Consider the following 21074-nt stretch of genomic DNA (forward strand, 5'->3'; position numbering starts at 1 on the left):
GGGAGGCTGAGGTGAGAGGATCTCTTGTGCCTGGGAGGTCAAGGATGCACTAAACTATGATTGTGCCACTGCACTCCAGCCTGTGAAACAGAGTGAGACCATGTCTCAAAAAAAAAAAAAAAAAAAAGAGAAATTTCAATTCCGTCAATCAGTTATGCAAAGGTTTTTTTTAAATTAACTAGTAATTTTTTCCATCTATCATAATGTCAATCAGTTGTTCTTACAGTTGTCTAAAACATTAGACAGTGTAGCATTCCTATATTTTAACAAAGTGTTCCCAGCCAATTGAAATGCTTTATTTCTAAGATTTTTAAAAAGATTAGAAACATACTTCCAGATTTTATATATATGTAGATTTTAGACTTTTAAAAGGTGAGCTGTGTTTCATTTTTAGCAACAAACTCACACCAAGATGGAAATATTTCCTCCTATTCATTTTCAAAACAACCTCTCCATAGTATAAGTTTCTTTTGCTCATTGTTAAATTTCACATATATTTGAAAGGGACAAATTAAGTATGTGTGTGGTTTTTTTTGTTTGTTTGTTTGGTTGGTTTTTATAGAGATGGGGTTTCACCAAATTGCCCAGGCTGGTCTTGAACTCTTGAGCTCAGGCAATCCTCCCACCTTGGCCTCCCAAAGTGCTGGGATTACAGGCATGAGCCACCATACCTGGCCTGATCTATCTTTCTTTCTCTCTCTCTTTCTTTCTTTCTTTTTCTTTCTTTCTTTCTCTCTCTCTCTCTCCTTTCTTTCTTTCTTTCTTTCTTTCTTTCTTTCTTTCTTTCTTTCTTTCTTTCTTTCTTTCTTTCCTCTCTCTGTCTCTCTCTCTCTTTCTTTCTCTCTCTCTCTTTCTTTTTTTTTTGAAATGGAGTCTCGCTCTGTCACCCAGGCTGGACTGCAGTGGCACGTTCTCAGCTCACTGCAACCTCTGCCTCCTGGATTCAAGTGATTCTCCTGCCTCAGCCTCCCAAGTAGCTGGAATTACAGGCGCGTGCCACCACACCAGGCCAATTTTTGTATTTTTAGTAGAGACCAGGTTTCACCATCTTGGCCAGGCTGGTCTTGAACTCCTGACCTCATGATCCACCTGTCTCGGCCTCCCAAAGTGCTGGGATTACAGGTGTGAGCTACCACACCTGGCACATTTATTTCTTAATATCAGCTAAGAAGTGGCTAATTACTCACTTGTTATCCCTGAAAAGATTAGTAAATTTGGAAGAAGTCTTTTCACAAAAGAAAAGCAGTCAATTCATCTTAAAATGTCTTTTAAGAATTTTATATAAGAATCACAGTAAATCTATATTTTAGCACAAAAATTATATTCACTTTCCATCTCATTAAAAAGAATTACATATCTTTAGGAAAGTAAAAGATATTCTTTGTTTTTAATTTATTTTAATTTTAAATTCACCTATGATTTATTATTTGACCTTGATTCTACCATTTAATCTCTCTAATATAACTTTTAAATTAAGATAATAACATCTATTTGTGCTTATTTCCTAAGGATAGTCCAAGGATTGATTAATATTTTATGTAAGCAAAAATGAGTTGTTTCAATGATAGTATAATCTAGGCCATTGGTATATGAAAGAATAGTTAGGAATTTATGTATTTTCACAAAGAAGCAGCAGGGACATAACTAGTAGAATATGTAAGGAAGTAGTATCTTTTTCTTGTGAAAAAGACTTGCCTTTTTAACTCTTTCTCAGGAAAGGTTGCCCCTTTTCCTGATACATAAATTCAGGTGTCAAATACATTAATCAACGTTGCTTTAGGTCATTAACAACCTTCCTGTCTGAATCAAGAAGCAGGAAGTTTGGGTTTTTATTGGATAGGCTACTACTTTTCTTTTTTTTTTTTTTTTTTTTTTGAGACGGAGTCTCGCTCTGTCGCCCAGGCTGGAGTGCAGTGGAACCGTCTCGGCTCACTGCAAGCTCCGCCTCCCGGGTTCAAGCCATTCTCCTGCCTCAGCCTCCGAGTAGCTGGGACTATAGGCGCCCACCACCCCGCCCGACTAATTTTTTGTATTTTTAGTAGAGACTGGGTTTCACTATGTTAGGCAGGATGGTCTCGATTTCCTGACCTCGTGATCCACCTGCCTCGGTCTCCCAAAGTGCTGAGATTACAGGCGTGAGCCACCGCGCCCGGCCTAGGCTACTACATTTTATTTTTATTCATTCATTCAAGAAACATTTACTAAGAACTTACTCCCTGATAAGTACTGTGTGGTATGCAGGGATAAGTTGATGGCTCATGTCTTACAGACAGGTTAATTGAGGAGATAGATGTGCAAATGACTATAACAGAGATATATACAAAGTACTGTAAAAACATGGGAAAGGGAGCAAATTAGAGCCAGTGGAAACTGGTAAGTCTTCTCAGAGTAGATCATGTTTAAGCCTAGAGAAATACTCCAGAACTAACCAAACAGCGAAAGGGAGTAGGGTATTTGAAAAGTATGGTGTGTCTGAATTTTGCATACAGGTTTTCTGCATTTTATTTCTGGGACCTAGCCTCAGCAAATACTGTCATGCAGAGGTTCTCAAACTTTCTCTATTCACAGTGCCCTTTGGGTTTCAATATTTTCACACTCCTAAGCCAAAAGAAATACCTCACAGTTAAGTTTATTAAGTAGGTAGGTTCAAACCGCTTACTAAATATTTAATGTCCTAACAATTTATTAACCATTTGGAAAAGTACTACACATACATTGAAAGAAAAAACCTTTTATTTTATTCTCATTTAATCAATACCACTTACCAATGTAAGGCATGTACTTTTGGCATGGTACAGCTTCTCTGACCTTGGAATCAGATTGGACGTTACCACCTTCATTTCCTGTTCCATGTTAATTTTCACACAGTACTTGTTTTTTTTTTTTTTATCACACAACCACCAATCAAACCAGTTTCAAAAAGATATGATGTCATCAAAATTAATATAGGGCATCTAAAGTTGAAAACTGTGAATTGTGTTAAGTTCATGCTGTGTCTGGTAGATGTTACATATTACTGTTATTTCCCTCAATTTAAAATCCTATGGCATCCTTGTGAGTTTGCTGTGGAGCCCTGGAATGCCTTGATGTGCAATTTGAGAATTGTAGGTTCTCACAGGTTATTATCTATGGCCAGGCTAAAGAAGAGATCAGTGGCTGGGCGTGTGGTTCACGCCTGTAATCCTAGCACTTTGGGAGGCTGAGGTGGGCAGATTGCTTCATCCCAGCAGTTCAAGTTCGGCCTGGGCAACATGGTGAAAGCCCATTTCTACAAAAAACACAAAACTTAGCCAGGCATGGTGGTCCCAGCTACTCAGGAGGTTAAGATGGATGGATCACCTGAGCCTGGGGAGGTCAAGGTTGCAGTGAGCTATGATTATGCCTCTGCACTCCAGCCTGGGCAACAGAGTGACACCCCGTTTCAAAAAAATTAAATAAATAGATATCAATAAAAAGAAGAGAGTAGCTTAGTGTCATGTAGTGAGCAAAAGAAAATAGGGTCATGCTAGCTGATGACTTGATTTCATTAAGAATTATAATGTTGAAAGTTGGACACAGGCACGATCATTTCTATTTTAAAATTTGGTGTGATTTTTACTGTTTGATTTATTTAAAGTGGGTCATTTGTATTATACTCATTTTTTAACAGATGGATGAGTTACATATATCTATGATCCAGTGGATGGTAAACTTGCTGATTTTAATGATACCCAACTTTACTGACCAAGACTGTCTCCTAAAGTTGGAGGAGGAAAGTGCTGAGAAACATGATATAGGAGTTGCGCGATTGGAGCTAGATGCGATTGAACTGACAAGGAAGTTGTACCAATACTCCAGCTATTTGAGCAGGTGAAGCGGTTATTTTATTGTTGCCCTTTTGAAGAATTGAATGTCGCATATAACAGAGAAGAGACAGTGAAGTAGTAGCAATAGGAGTTATTTTAAAACCTTGAAAGAAATACTAGTTCAGTTTTTCAACTAGCTTTAACACTGTGAGCAGTTATAATATGAGATTTTGGTTTTTCTTTTGAAAACTGTTGGCACGGGCAGGATGAGAAGTGTGTGTATGTGGGAGTAAGAATTAGGAAAAAAGGACTCACTTTCTTGCATAAATAAGACACATCTTACACTTTTACACATACTGGTGAGGGAGTGGATTTAAGAAGAATATTGTAGTTTCTTGTGTACCGTCATGTATTTTTTTAGACAGAGTTTTCTTCTGTCACCGAGGCTAGAATGTAGTAGCGTGATCTCGGCTCACTGCAGCCTCCACCTCCCAGGCTCAAGAGATTCTTGTGCCTCAGCCTCCTGAGTAGCTGGGATTTACAGGCATGCACCACGATGCCTGGGTAATTTTTGTATTTTTAGTAGAGGTAGAGTTTTGCCATGTTGGCCAGGCTGGTCTCGAACTCCTGATCTCAAGTGATCTGCCCACCTTGGCCTCCCAAAGTCCTGGAATTACAGCCATGAGCCACCATGCCCAGCCCTGAATGTATACTTTTATGTGCTTCACTAAATGCCAACCAAAACTTCTTTTTACAAAATGGAAGAAAAAAAAAAACAACAACCCACAAACCCTTATATCTGAAAAGCTAGAAGATTTCCACTGAATAAAGATGAAGTCTGGAAAATTGTAATCTATTAACTGAGATGCAAGCTTGATGCTATCATTACTTTAAATTCAGGAAGTAGCTTTTGCATTCTAAGCAAATTTTCCCTTCATTTCAATTCAGTATTACTAAGGGTCAAGAATAAGAGGGATGGAAGGGAGAAGGAGGACAAGGGTAAGAAATTGAGGAGACAAATTATTCTCCTTGGTGAGTCAGTAGCTGAATTATTATGGTGAACTTCCACTTTGTCTGGATTTTTAAAATTTTAAACACTTAGAAGAAGAACCAGCAATAAATAGGTTATGCTGAGTGTGTATTTGCTCTTTTTCTTTTTCTTTTTTTCCCCCTTTTTGCAGTTGTTGCAAAGGGATGGTAACAGCAATGGCTCTGAGTAAATCCACTAACTCACACAAAAATGCTACTGAAGACCTTTATGAGGTGGATAAGTTGAAGGTAATAACTCTGTCTTCCCCTTAGTTTTGTTTTTGTTTTGTTTGTTTTTATCAGATTTTTGAAGTTCAATTGATGTACAACAAGCTCACATATTTAAAGAATACAATCTTATAAGTTCTAAAATATGCATATACTCATAAAAACAATTAATAAAAATGAAAAATAGGGAACATATCAAACACACCCAGAGTTTCCTTGTACTCCTCTTTTATTTATCCTTCCAGCCTCATCTTGTCACCAATGTCTGATCTACTAACACCAAAGATTTTTTTTATTTTCTAGAATTTATAAAAATGGAATTATAAAGAATATACTTTTTTTTCTCTGACTTATTTCACTAAGCATGATTACTTAGAGATTCACACATATTGTTGCTTTTATCAACCACTTATGCTTTTTAGTGCTGAGTAATATTTCATTGTATGGATAGACACAATTTATTTAGTCTCTGTTGTTATGCATTTGAATTGTTTCCAGTTTTAAATTATTACTAGATAACTTCAGTGCATATTCATATGTAAGTCTTTGAATGGATGTATACTTTCACTTCTCTTGGGTTGATATCTAGGAATGGAATGGCTGAGTCACATGGAATGTGTGTGTTTAACTTTTAAAGAAACGGTCAAACTGCCTTCCAAAGTGGCTAATGGGTACAAAAGTGCAGTTAGGTAGAAGGAATAAGCTCTAGTATTCATTAGTACATTAGGGAAATTATAGTTAACAATAATTCGCTGTATATTTCAAAATAGCTAGAAGAGAAGAATTGGCTATCTCCAACATAAAGAAAAGATAAATGTTTGAGGTGATGGATACCCCTGTTACCCTGCTTTGATCTTTACACATTGTACACATGCATCAAGATATCACATGTACTCCAAAATATGTACAAATATGATATATCAATTTCTTAAAAGGTGGTTAAACCATTTTTACACTCTTGCCAGCAGTATCTGAGAGTTCCAGTTGCTTTACATACTCACTGACACTTGATATAGTCAGTCTTTTTAAAATTTTTTTTGAGATGGAGTCTCGCTCTGTTGCCCAGGCTGGAGTGCAGTGGCATGATCTTGGCTCACTGCAACCTCTGCTTCCTGGGTTCAAGCAATTCTGCTTCCTAAGCCTCCTGAATACCTGGGACTACAGGCGTGCACCACTATGCCGGGCTAATTTTTGTATTTTTAGTGGAGATGGGGTTTCACCGTGTTGACCAGGCTGGTCTCAAACTCCTGACCTCAAGTGATCCGCCCTCCTCAGCCTCCCAAAGTGCTGGGATTACAGGTGTGAGCCACTGCGCCTGGCTGATATAGTCAGTCTTTTAAAATTATACATTCTAATAAGTGAGTAGTGGGATGTTATTGTGGTTTTAATTTGCATTTTCTTAATGACCAATGATGTTGAACTTCTTTTCATGTGTGTATTTGTAATCCATGTATTTTCTGTGGTGTAATGTCTGTTCAAATCTTTGACCCGTTTAGTATTGATTTGTTTGTTTCCTTATTATTGAGTTTAGACAGCTGTTTTTTTTCTCGATACCAAGTCTTTTATCAGATACATGATTTTAAAATATCTTCTCTCAGTCTGTGATTTGTCTTTTTTTTTTTTTCCTAAGATAGTATTTTACTATGTTGCGTAGGCTGGACTTGAACTCCTGAGCTCAAGTGATCTTCCCACCTCAGTCTCCAGAGTAGCCAGGATTACAGACATGAACCTCATGCCCAGTTATAGTGTCTTTCAAAGAGAGAAGTTCTTAATTTTGATGAAGTTCAATCTCTGATTTTTTTTCTTTTATAGACCTTGCTTTTGGTATTCTATCTAAAGAAATTTTTGCATAACAACATCATAAAGATTTTCTCCTATGTTTTCTTCTAGAAGTTTTAGAGTTTTAGGCATTATATTCAAGTCTATGACCCATTTTGAGTTAACTTTTAAAAATATGGTGCTGGGGTTGGATTCAAGTTCATTTTGTGGCATTTGGATATCCAATTGTTTTAGCACCATTTGCTGAAAAGGCTGTACTTTCTCTATTGAGATGCCTTTGTATCTTGATTGAAAACCTTTTAACCATATATGTCTTGGTATTATTCTGGACATTCTGTTGTGTTCTGTTGATCCATTTGTCAACATTGTCACCGTCTCCAAACTGCCTTCATTACTATTGTTTTGTAATAAGTTTTAAAATCAGGTAATATAAATCCTCCAAATTTGTTTTTTTTCAAGATCAGGCTATTCTAGGTCCTTTGCTTTCCATATTTTATAATTAGCCTATCAATTTCCTCAAGAAACCTTGCTGAGATTTTAATTGATATTATATCTATTGATCAGTTTGTGGAGAATTGATATCTTAACAATATGGAGTCTTTAAATCTGTGAACATGGTCTATCTCTTCATTTGTTTGTCTTTATTTCTTTAAGCAAAGTTTTATAGTTTTCAGTGTATAGATCTTACATATAGTTTGTGAGATTTATCCCTAAGTATTTCATATTTTGGTGCTACTATACATGGTATTATTTTATAATTACAATTTCTGATTATTCATTGCTAATATATAGAATTACAATGGGGTTTTAGTACATTAATCTCATATCCTGTGACCTTGCTGAATTCACTTATTCCTTCTAAGAATTTTTTTTATTTTGTTTTTTTCAGATTCTTTGGGATTTTTAATACACAGTCATGCAGTCATGTTATCTGCAGATAGGGACAGTTTTATTTCTTCCTTTCCAATCTGTATATATTTTTTCTTTTTCTTGCCTTATTGCACTAATAAGACTGTATAATACTAGGTTGAAAAAGTAATGAGAGCAGATATCCTTGCCTTGGTCCATCTTAGGGAAAAAGTATTAATTGGTCATCTTTAAGTATAATGCTAGCTATAGGTTTTTTTTATAGATACCCTTTATTAGATTGAGGAAATTCTTCTTTATTTCATGTTTGCTGAAAATTCTTTTTTTTTTTTTTTTTTAGTCAGTAATGGATGTTGGATGTTATCAAATCCTTTCGCTGCATCTATTGAGATGCTCGTGAGTTGTCTTTTTTAGTGCGTTAATATGGTGAATTACATTTATTGATTTTTAAATTGAATGTTAAACCAGTATTGTATTCCTGGAATAAACTCCACTTGATCGTGATGTATTGTCCCTCTTATATGTTGCAAATTCAATTGATTGATTGTTTAGAATTTTTGCACTGATGTTCATAAGGGATATTTATTAAATAGTTTTGTTTTGTAATATCTTTGTTTGGTTTTGATATCAGGGTAATGCTGGCCTTTTAAAATGAGTTAAGAAGTGTTTCTTACTCTTCTGTTTTAGAAATAATATGTGTAGAATTGTTTATTTCTTCCATAAATGTTTGGTAGAATTCACCAGTGAAGCATCTGGGCATTGTGGGAAAGTTTTTAACTAACAAATATAGAGCTATCTAATTTCTTTAACAAGTTTAAATACATTTATCACATATAGAGCTATTATTTCCTTTTCTTGAGTGAGCTTTGGACTTGTAAGGAATTTGCGATTTCATCTAAGTTGTCTAGTTTATTGTCATGCAATTGCTCACAATATTCCCTTATTATTCTTTTAATAATTGTAGGATGTCCACTGTCTCATTCTGTTATGGAAATTTTGAATCCTCTCTCTTTTTGTTTTCATGAATCTACACAAAGATTGTCCAATTTTCTTGATCTCAAAGAACCAGATTTTGCTTTCATTGATTTTTCTCCACAATTTTTCTGTTTTCTACGTCCTTAATTTCCAGTCTAGTCTTTATTGTTTATATTTTCTTACTTATTCTGGGTTTAATTTGCTCTTCATTTTCTGGTTTCTTAAAGTGTAGCTGAGATTATTGATTTGAGACCTTTTTACCTCCTCCCCCATACCCCCGTAGGCATTTAGTAGTACAAACTTTCTGTTTTAGCTGCATCTCACAGATTTTGATATGTTGTGTTTTCATTTTAATTCCATTTAAAATACATTTTAATATCCATTTTGCATTCTTCGTTCATCCATGGGTTATTTAGAAGTATATTTAGTTCCCAAATATTTGAGTATTTTCCAGAGCTCTTCTGCTATTGATTTGTAATATGATTTCATTGTAGTCAGAGAACATATTTTGTACCACTTACATCCTTTCCAATGTATTGAGACTTGTTTGAGAACCTAGAACATTATCTGTCTTGGTAACTGTTCCATGTACAATTGAGAAGAATATTCTGTTATTGATGGAGTTCAAATCAAATTGGTTGATAGTCTTATTTAAGTGTCCTATATCCTTGTTGATTTTCTGTCTACTTGATCCATCAGTTATTCAGAGAGGAGTATTGAAACCTTGACTATAATTATGTTTTGTTTATTTTCTTGGAGTTCTATCAGTTTTTGCTTCATGTATTTTGAAGCTATGTTATTAGGTGCAAATACATTTAGAGTGAATTGACTCTATCATTATGAAATTACTCTCTTAACACTGCATCTCAATAGACCCAGAAAAAGCTTTCAATAAAATCCAATATCCTTTCATGATAAAAACCCTCAACAGACTAGACATTGAAGGAATATACCTCAAAATAATAAGAGCCATCTATGACAAACCGATAGCCAACATCGTACTGAATTCAGGGCAAAAGCTTGAACCATTCCCCTTGAGAACTGGAACAAGACAAGGATGCCCAGTCTTACTATTCCTATTCAACATAGCTCTGGAAGTGCTAGCCAGAGCAGTTAGGCAAGAGAAAGAAATAAAAGGCCTCCAAACAGGAAAAGAAGAAGTCAAGCTATCTGTCTTTGCTGATGATAGGATTCTATACCTAGAAAATCTTAAAGACTCTGCCAAAAGGCTCCTAGAATTGATAAACAACTTTAGTAAAGTTTAGGATACTAAGTCAATATACAAAAAGCAATAGCATTTCTATACACCAATAATGTCCAGGCTGAGAGTGAAGTCGAGAATACAATTCCACTTACAATAGCCACAAGAAAATCAAATACCTAGGAATACATCTAGCCAAGGAGGTGAAAGGCGTCTACAAGGAGAACTACAAAACACTGCTGAAAGAAATCAGAGATGACACAAATTAATGGAAAAACATTTCATGCTCATGGATAAGAAGAATCAATATCATAAAAATGGCCATACTGCCCAAAGCAGTTTATAAATTCGGTTCTATTCCTATCAAACTATCAATGTCATTCTTCACAGAATTTGAAAAAAATATTAAAAGTTCATATGGAACTGAAAGAGAGCCCAAATAGCCAAAGCAGTCCTGAGCAAAAGGAACAAAGCTGGAGGCATCACACTACCTTACTTCAAACTATATAATAAAGTAAACAAAACAGCATGGTACTGGTACAAAAACAGACATGTAGACTAATGGAACATAATAGAAAACTTAGAAATATGGCTTCACACCTACCAACCATCTGATCTTCAACAATGCTGACAAAAACTAGCAAGGGGGAAAAGACTCCCTATTCATTAAATGGTGCTGGGATAAATGGATTAAAGATTTAAATGTAAGACATCAAACTATAAAAATCTGGGAAAACAAGACTGGAAAATATTCTTCTTGACATTGACCTTGGCAAATAATTTTTGGCTAAATCTCCAAAAGCAGTAGCAACAAAAACAAAAATAGACAAGTGGGTCCTAATTAAAGAACATCTGCACAGAAAGGAAACTGTCATTGGAAAAACAGAAAACCTCCAGAATAGGGGAAGATATTTGCAAACTATGTGTCTGACAAAGGCCTAATATCTAGAATCTATAGGGAACTCAAACAAATCAACAAGCAAAAACCAAATAACCCACTTAAAAATGGGCAAAGGATATGAACAGATATTTCTCAAAAGAAGATACACAGTGGCCAACAAACATATGAAAAAATTCTCAGCATCACTAATCATCAAGTAAATACAAATCAAAACCACAATGAGATACCATCTTACACCAGTCAGAATAGCTTATAAAAAGTCAAAAAAAAACAACAGATGCTAGTGAGGCTGCAGAGAAAAAGGAAAACTGTTATTCACTGTTGTTGGGAATGTAAATTAGTCTAGCCATCGTGGAAAGCCGTCTGGAGATTTCTCAAAGAACTTAAAACAGAGCTACAGTTCAACACAGCAATCCCATTACTGTCTACATACCAAAAGAAAATAAATCATTCTACCAAAAAGACATATGCATTCACATGTTCACTGCTGTGCTATTCACAAGAGCAAACAATAATAGACCAAAACTGGAAACAACCTAAATGTCCATCAATTGCGACTAGATAAACAAAATGCAGTATATTTATATAATAGAACATTATTTGGCAGTAAAGAAGTACTGATACATGCAACAACATGGAAGAACCTTGAAAACATGTTGAGTGAAAGAAGTCAGTAATATATTGTGATGTTTCAAAAGACCACATATTTATTCACATAAAATATTTCAAAAGACCTCATATTGTATTATTTTATTCACGTAAAATGCCCAGAATAGGCAAATCTATAGAGACAGAAAGATTAGTGGCTGCCTGGAGCTTGTAAAGGAGGGGGAGGAATGGGAAATGAACAACTGCTAACAGGTACAGGCTTTCTTGGGGCCTGATGAAAATATTCTAGGAATAGATTGCAGCGATGGTTGCACAACTTTGTGAATAACTAAAAACCATTGAATTATACACTTTAAATGGGTGTATCATATGTTTTTGAATACCTGACTAAAAGGAGATGATCAAGAGAGCCCAAAATTGGTCTGCTAAAAGACTAAAATTGGGAAGCTTTTGGCAAGATTAATTAAGACAAAAAGATGCAAAAAATTATTTCAGGAATGAGTAACTCAGATGATTCAGACATTAGAAAGATAGTAGGAAGAGATTATGAAGGACATTATCACAAACATTTGAAAATTTAGATGAAATGGACAAATAAATATAACCCAGAAGACTTGCGAATAAATTAAAAACCCAAGTAGTCCTATAACCATTAAAGGAATTCGTCAAAAATCTTCCCCCAAAAGATGCTCTAAGTATAGACAGCTTCAACAGAAAGCCCTATCAAACATTTAATAAATAAATAATTCTGTTCTTATACAGACTCTTTCAGGGTCTAAAGAAGAGGGAATACTTTTTATACAAAAACGCAAAAGGGATTGTTCAAGAAAGGGAAATTATAGACCAGTCTCACATGGAATACAAAAGTCCTGAACAAAATACAGGCAAATCAAATCCAGCAGTAAATGAGAGGGGTAACACACATTATGAACATGTTAATTTTGTTCTAGGAATGCAAGTTCGTAATATAACATCTGTAATGTATCTATAGGTACACTGGATACAACCCAATTGATAAAAAATTAATGGCTATATATGTATATATATATATAGCCATTAATTGCAGGGTACATTATGTGTGTGTGTGTGTGTGTGTGTGTGTGTGTGTGTGTGTGTGTGTATTGCCTGCCAGCATTAAGTAGTTATGAAACATGAAAAAGGTAATATTTATAATAATTTCAAAATTATAAAGTACTTAGGAATAAATCTAATAAAAGTTGATCAGTTTCTTTCTAGAGTATATTTCAAACTTTATTTGAGAAACATTAAAAGACCTAAGTGGAAGATACACCATGTTCATGAACTGAAAGATTCTATATTGTAAAGATGTCAATTCTCCTCAGGATGCTATGTAGCGATCCTGTCCAATACAGTAGCCACTAGCCACATATTGCTATTCACATTTGAATTAATTTATTTTTATTTTTTGAGACAGAATCTGGCTCTGTTGCCCAGGCCGGAGTGCAGTGGCACGATGTCAGCTCTCTTGAACTCTGCCTCTCGGGTTCAAGAGATTCTAGTGCCTCAGCTTCCTGAGTAGCCGGGATTACAGGCACAGGCCACCATACCTGGCTAATTTTTGTATTTTTAGTAGAGACAGGGTTTTGCCATGTTGGCCAGGCTGGTCTTGAACTCCTGGTCTCAAGTGATCCACCCGTCTCAGCCTCCCAAAGTACTGGGATTACAGGTGTGAGCCACCATGCCTGGCTGAATTAATTTAAATTTAAAAATTCACCTCTCCAGTCATATTAGCCATATTTTAAGTGCTTAATAGTACATGTTGCTACCAGGGATCATATTGGACCACACATATATAGAACATTTCTATTATTATGGAAAGTTCTATTAAACAGCACTAATCTAGGTGTCACAATCAAGTTTCCAACAGTTTTTTTTTCAACTTGACAAACTGTCTCTAAAAGCTGTTTTGGATATTCAAAGAACCAAGAATAGCTAACACACTTTTGAAAATAAGGTGAGAGGACTCATCCTCCCATATTTTAAACTTCTTGTAAAGCTAAACTGAAACAGCATGGTGTTAGTTCAAAGATGGACAACTATGTCAATGGAATCAAAAAACAGAACCAAAAATTTATGGCCTTTTATATAAGCATGGCATACAGAATTAATGAGGAAATGATGAACTTTCCAATTAAAAATACTAGGGGGCTGGGTGCAGTGGCTCACGCCTGTAATCCCAGCACTTTGGGAGGCTGAGGCGGGTGGATCATGAGGTCAGGAGATCGAGACCATCCTGACTAATACAGTGAAACCCCATCTCTACTAAAAATACAAAAAAATTAGCCAGGTGTGGTGGTGCACCCCTGTAGTTCCAGCTACTGGGGAGGGTGAGGCAGGAGAATCGCTTGAACCGGGAAGGCGGAGGTCACAGTGAGCCAATCACGCCACTGCATTCCAGCCTGGGCGACAGAGTGAGACTGTGTCTTAAAACAAAACAAAACAAAACAACAACAAAAAAACTCAAAAACTAGGAATATTGGCTATCTATATAGGAGAGATGAAATGAGACTTTTACTTCACACAAAAATCAATTCCAAATGGACTAGAAACCTACATGTGAAAGTCAAAATTATAAAGCTTTTAGAAGACAATATCTAAGATCTTGGGGGTAGGAAAATTTTTTTTAAGTAAGAGATAAGAAGCACTAACTCAAAGGGAAAAGGTTCATAATTTTGATTACCTTAAATTTAAGAATTATTTTTGTCAAGAAAATACCATTAAAACAAAAACAATCCACAAAATGGGAGACTGTATTTGCAACACTTATAACTGACAAAGGACCAGTATCCAGAATAGAAAATGACCTTCTAGGAATCAATATTATAAAAATACACAACCCAATAGAAAAATGGGCAAAAAGCCTGAATGTATACCTCACCAAAGAGAAAATCCCAATGGTTGACATACTTATGAAAAGCTGCTCAATTTCATAAGTGATCAGGGAAATACAAACTAATATCACTACTTACATAACAAGCTGGCAAAAATTACAAAGTCTAGGCCGAGTGTGGTGGCTTACGCCTGTAATCTCAGCACTTTGGGAGGCCGAGGTGGGCGGATCACCTGTGGTCAGGAGTTCAAGATCAGCCTGGCCAGCGTGGTGAACCTCTGTCTCTGCTAAAAATACAAAATTAGCCCGGCATGGTGGCACGCACCGGCAGTCCCAGCTACTGGGGAGGCTGAGGCAGGAGAATCGCTTGAACCCGGGAGGCAAAGTTTGTGGTGAGCCAAGATTGCACCACTGCACTTCAGCCTGGGCAAAAGAGCAAAACTCTGTCTAAAAAAAAAAAAAAAAAAAAAAAGAAATTGCAAAGTCTGGCAATACAAGTGTTAACAAGAATGAGGGAGCAACAGGTACTTCTATACTGCTGGTAAGAATATAAATTTGTACATCCACTTTGGAAATCAGTTGACATTATCTGTTAAAGTTGCAACACACTTTGCAACAAACAATTCTATTCATCTGTCAGTATACTAGATAAGCTCTTACACAAGTGCTCTAGACTAAGAGACATACATAAGAACATTCTGGCCAGGCGTGGTGGCTCACACCTGTAATCCCAGCACTTTGGGAGGCTGAGACGGGTGGATCACCTGAGGTTGGGAGATCAAGACCAGCCTGACCAACATGGAGAGACCCCGTCTCTACTGAAAATACAAAATTAGCCAGGCGTGGTGGCGCATGCCTGTAATCCCAGCTACTCAGGAGGCTGAGGCAGGAGAATCACTTGAACCCGGGAGGCGGAGGTTGCGGTGAGGTGAGATCGTGCCATTGCATTCTAGCCTGGGCAAAAAGAGCAAAACTCCGTGTAAAAAAAAAAAAAAAGGATATTCCAAGATTATTTCTAGAAGTATCCTCAAACTGGAAACAACTCAAATGTCCATAAATAGTAGAATAAATATTATGAATATTATGGTATATGAGGACTGGCATGTAGGGAGCAATTCTCTCTTTAAACTGCATATGTGTATTTTATGTCTCTCTGTATGTATGACAGATCTCACAGTTTTTGAACAGTTTTATAACTATTATAAAACTGTTTAAAAACTTTTATGTTATAAAATTTATGTACAACATCTTGCTAATACATTTTAAATCTCTAGGAGATGGAGACTTTTCTAGGAAAATAGTATCATTAATCCTTGAAGGAGAAAATTGGCCAATTTTCAGTGAAAAATTGGATGCACTAATTTTTAGAAATGCTAAAAATTTTGCCTGGATTCCTCAGACAGGTTTTTTCAGACTTTTTTTTAATTTTTATTTTTATTTTAATTTTATTGTTATTATACTTTAAGTTTTAGGGTACATGGGCACAATGTGCAGGTTTGTTACATATGTACACATGTGCCATGTTGGTGTGCTGCACCCATTAACTTGTCATTTAGCATTAGGTATATTTCCTAATGCCATCCCTCCCCCCTGCCCTCACCCCACAACAGTCCCCGGAGTGTGTGATGTTCCCCTTCCTGTGTCCATGTGTTCTCATTGTTCAATTCCCACCTATGATTGAGAACACGCGGTGTTTGCTTTTTTGTCCTTGTGATAGTTTGCTGAGAATTATGCAGACTTTCAAGGAGTAGGGTAATCCCCATGCTATATAAACAGTGTAAGAGCATAGATAACGACTGAAAGTATTCCCATTTTATTTCACATAGCTACTAATGTCCTTTAAAAAGTCCAGATGAGTATAGAGAAAATAAATCTTATGTATTAATATATAGGTGCTAAATCCAAATTTAAAATAGCAAATTTAATGTGGTAGAAAATTACAAGACTAAAACACCATGAACATTTAGGGTGTATGTCAGGGAAGCAATAATATTTTACTATTTGAAAATATGCTACTATAGGTATATATCACTTCTCATCTAAGAGTTGAATGAAATGTCTGAGTTCTCATTTTGGTTCTGGGAAGGCTTCAGAAGGATTCTTCACAACAGGCTGTTATACTTCTGAACCAAGCAGTCTCTTGGAACCCACACTATACATCTAGAAATGTGTTCAAGCCTTCTCAGGCCTGCTGCGAATAGCCCCTTCTTCTGTCCACCCCAGGATGTGGTGGGGATCCTGATTTTGGCAGGCTGGACCTGCCACAGATGGTGGTGGAGACCCACTGGCCAACTCTATGACACACTTAGTCCTCATTTACCTAAAAGTGGGTAGAGCTCTGTGTGGCGAGACCAGGTTTTCAGATAAAGGTAATCTGGAATGAGGATTTCAAGATGTTTTGAGGTGTATCTCCCTATAAAAGTTAAGGCTATAGCCATATGGAGGACACTATCATGAGGAGCCCTTCCTGAGGGAACTTCAGGGTTCAGGAACTTATAAAATTATCCAGATGAGGAGATTTTGTGGAAGCCTTGTGCTATGGCCATTCATTGCCCTGCGCCACCCCATCCCCTGACTGGATGCCCATAACCTGACCATCTCTTTGAGGACCTACACTTTCCACTAGTGCTACTTTGGTCCTCTGTTAAGCTCTTTCTCACTCACTAACCGTTCTCTAGTGATTTCAGATAAATAAACTGGGGGAGTCTTATCAGAGGAGGCTGAGAATCTGCTCTCACACCAGAGGTAAGGCTGTAACTGAGCCTATGCAAAGGCCTTCTTCTGCTAAGAAAATGCATATGCCTTTTCCCTAAGCCTGAGGCCTCTCAAGGGTATATCAAGCGAGTTTATGGTAAGGGGCTTAGCAGACCATACTGAGGTACTCTTTAAAAAAATGGTTAGTTCCATCTTCATGAAGGTTATTTTTATTTCAAATTCATCACCATCCTGGACTGCTACCATCTTCTCCTGATCTAGACAAACCTCTATGGTACATGAATCTTTATGACATCAGACTTTGGGATTTCTATGGCCTCATCCACATCCCACAAGGTGAAAAGAAGATGGTTTTCCAGAGAAGCCTTGTCTAATGCAGCTCTATGGTAATGCTGTGTGGCTTGTGCCACATTCTAGCATTTGACCTACTAGACTGATATTTGGATGACATTAGTGAGAGTTTCCCACAAGCTAATGTTTCTGCTTCTTTCCAGCCAAGGAGATTTGCATGATGCTGGACAGGGTTCAGAACTGAGGATCTTGGCCAGGTGCAGTGGTTCATGCCTGTAATCCCAGCATTTTGGGAGGCTGAGGCAAGCAGATCACCTGAGGTCGGGAGTTTGAGACCAGCCTGGCCAACATGGTGAAACTGTGTCTGTACTAAAAATACAAAAATTAGCCAGGTGTGGTAGTGGGTGCCTCCAAGCTACTCAGGAGGTTGAGGCAGGAGAATCCCTTGAACCCGGGAGGTAGAGGTTGTGCCGAGCCGAGATTGCTCCACTGCATTCCAGCCTGGGCAACAGAGCGAAACTCCATCTCAAAAAAAAAAAAAGAAAAAAGAAAAACAGAAAAAAATTGAAGATCTCCTAGGTAACCATCTTTTGGAGTTTGATCACCCCTACTGATATAAATTCTTACTCCACTTTCCATAACAGTCTAGGTAAATTGCTTCTTCAGAAACAGATAGGGATTATCTAGTTCCCCAAGAGTACTAAGGCAGTCCAGGGGCTAATTATTTACCATCCACCTGATCCTGGCATAGCTTGATCCAGTCTGACCTCATACAGCGGGAGGCCATTTTTTAGGAGGACTCAGTTCTGAGAATCCTTGCTCCTGTGCCTATTTCAGACAGAAACTGATGTCATTGTATAGCAACCACTCCACTTGGAGATGAGAATTCCTTGTTATAAGGCTTCATGTGAGACTTGGAGGCACTATATCAGAGTCCTGGCATCCAGTAAGAGTATACAAGAACTACTGCAGCCTAGAACAGCTACTGAAAGCCTGGAAACTTAGCCAGGCCAGATAAGCTAGATGGATTTTTTTTTTCAAGTGCTTTAGGTTGACTATCTCTACTGTTCCAAGGACCTAGAATTAGAGTCACTGATACACTGAAGAATAGTCATAATCTGAGCAAATGGCAGATTACTGGGAAGGGCCTCTGAGATATCCTTCAGCAGGCCAAGACTGACAAAAAAGACACACATTGACCAGCACCTGACAGTGCTGAGAATATATGGGAGGGAAATATACCAAATAAATACCTACCATAATGGAAATGAGGACCTCTAGCTGGCGCTCTTCAAACTTGACTTCCAGCTACAATTAACTTCCTCTATGCCGGCTGTGCACAGTAGCTCACACCTGTAATCCCAGACTTTGCGAGGCTGAGGCAAGTGGATCACTTGAGGTCAGCAGTTCGAGACCAGCCTGGCCAACATAGTGAAGCCCCGTTTCTACTGAAAATTCAAAAATTAGCCGGGCATGGTGGCATGCCTGTAGTCTCAGCTACTCAGGAGGCTAAGGTAGGAGGATCATTTGAGCCTAGGAGGCGGAGGTTGCAGTGAGCCGAGATTGCACCACTGCACTCTAGCCTGGGCGACAGAGTAAGACTCTGTGTCAAAAAAACAAAACAAAACTTCCTCTATGCCATTTGGTCTCATCTCTGCCCTGTGTAGTCTGCCATCCACCTTGGACCACAATAGGCTTTCTTTATGTCACCAGAGATAGCACTGCCGGTTCCAGGATTTGGTCCTCCAAAAGGACTATGACTGAAGATGGTGGTAGTAGGAATCTTACTCTCAAGATGTTTTAGCAGGTAAATTCAAGCCCCAGCTTTCCTTCCTTATGGGGGGATCTGTGGATCATGGATTCTTAATAGCTCCATTTATAGCCAGTGTCTTACTGCTGGTACCCTATAAAAGACTCTCCTGTGGCCTTCTGTTTCTCCTGCTACAATAGGCTTAACATTTAGGACTATCACTTGCTTCTTAAATACTCCTTCACTCCAAACATGAATTTTAGTCCTTTTACTTCACACCAGAAGTCTTTATTAGAATCAATTAAGAATATTCATGGAAAGAGATTCATGGGTATTAATTAGCAACCAAGCTATCCTGGTCTATAGCTGATAAAAAGGTATTATTGAAGGTTTTGAAGGAAAACTTGCTGAACTCTATAGATTATTGTAAAACGTTTACAGTAAAACTGTAAAAGACTCCTAATAATTTTTTTCCTCATCAGAAGTCTTATGACAGTATCTCCAATGTCTCAGACATTTATAAGAAAATGACCAGGATCTGTTTCATAGCGTGCAAATTCAACTACAGACTAGTTTTGAAATTTTTTTGTTCTAGGTACAATAAAAAAAGGTTAAAAAATGTATTAGTCAAGCTTTATATCTGGAAGGATACTTAGGGGCAGTGGTGTGATAGAAACTCACACTGGCTCACAAGAACCAATTATATACAAGCCTTCTCAAGTCCACATTCTGTGATAACATACTGAATTGATGAATATCACTGAAATTGCCTGGTGAGAGTGTTTTCACCATGGAAATCAGAAATTGCTACAAATCAGGGCTTCCCCCAACTCCCTCAGAAATGGTTGTTAAACATTTACCAGGTCACCACTGCATATGGATCACTTAGAGTAAACAAACAGCTTCATTAAAAAAAAAAAGATAAGGACTATTAGGCATTTACTCAAGAACTCTCAACTAATTAGGTGAAGTTAGGACTAAAACCCAACACCTTCATCTGCCTTGTCCACTCTTCTTCCTGATATGCAATAAGATACCATTCTAACCCTCTGAATCCAGAATTTAACCATCAGTGACATTAACAAAGCTGTAGTAAACTTACTTTACCACTATAGGCTTCAGTTTCTTTATCTACAACATATGGATTTAGATTTGATTTCTAAAATTTTTGGCTCTGATGTTTCATAATAATTACACAATTTAAAAGAAATCTGGGCCAGGTACAGTGGCTCATGCCTGTAATCCCAGCATTTTGGGAGGCTGAATTGCTTAAGTCCAGGAGTACAAGCCCAGCCTGGGCAAGAAAAAGTAAAAAAATTAGCCAGGTATGGTGGTGCACACCTGTGGTCCCAGCTACTTGGGAGGCTGAGGTGGGAGGATCACTTGAGCTTAGTGGGTCGAGGCTGCAGTGAGCTATGATGATGCCACTGCACTCTAGCCTGGGCAACAGAGCAAGACCCTGTCTCAAAAAAAAAAAAAAGGCTAATAATGAAAGAAATATAAGGTATATTACTGCTCATTGTGGTTGATTTCAGGAGCCTACAGTGGGTCATTTCACCACATGCTGCCGTTTTTTGGCTAGAGTGACCAGATCTCTGTTCCCAGAGAGGACAACGTTTCCTAGTTCTCAGGGCTTTTATTAACTAATAAGGAATAATGTACCTTTTAAACGTTGAAACCAGCTCTTAACTGTTAGGAGATCTTGGTAAATACAGTTTAACTATTTACCTTAGGGGATTAAAACCTGCTATAGACCTTTCCCATATCTCAATAGATAAAAGGTGAGCACCTTTTCCAAAAGTGTCTCAAATCTTGATCCATTCACTTTATTAGCAGTAGAGGGATTTTTTTTTTTAGTGGTTAAGCACAGACCACATAGATTAGAATCCAAGCATCATACTTAACTATTTTTGTGACCTTGAGCAAGACATTTAACTACTCAATTTCTCAGTTTCCTCATCTTAAAAAATGAGGATAATAATAGTTAATGTCTCATACTGAGGATCAAATGAGTTAATATATGCATAATGCTTAGAACAGAGTCTGGCATATAATTAAGTACAAGGTAGGTGTTTGCTACTTCTGTTGTTATT

The 21074-nt window shown here is 37.2% G+C and overlaps 1 protein-coding gene across 22 annotated transcripts in view; it reads left to right on the forward strand.

The window, feature by feature from the left end:
- The window catches only part of AXDND1 (axonemal dynein light chain domain containing 1), a 189031-nt gene that overhangs the window by 122184 nt on the left and 45773 nt on the right, over positions 1-21074 (forward strand). For 16 of the 22 annotated variants that reach the window (XM_011509168.2, XM_011509169.2, XM_011509167.4 and 13 more), the window contains 2 exons: positions 3650-3849; positions 4967-5063. The exons of 1 other annotated variant lie outside the window; for it this stretch is intronic. In XM_011509168.2, the coding sequence (XP_011507470.1) occupies positions 3650-3849; positions 4967-5063 (297 nt within the window). Of the gene's footprint in view, positions 1-3649; positions 3850-4966; positions 5064-8028; positions 8184-16903; positions 16971-18944; positions 19039-21074 lie in introns of those variants that run through there. 5 more of the 22 variants (NR_073544.2, XM_011509180.2, XR_921741.2 and 2 more) reach the window with 4 other exon arrangements.

The sequence above is a fragment of the Homo sapiens genome, chromosome 1 (genome assembly GCF_000001405.40).
Source record: "Homo sapiens chromosome 1, GRCh38.p14 Primary Assembly".
Lineage (NCBI taxonomy): Eukaryota > Metazoa > Chordata > Mammalia > Primates > Hominidae > Homo > Homo sapiens.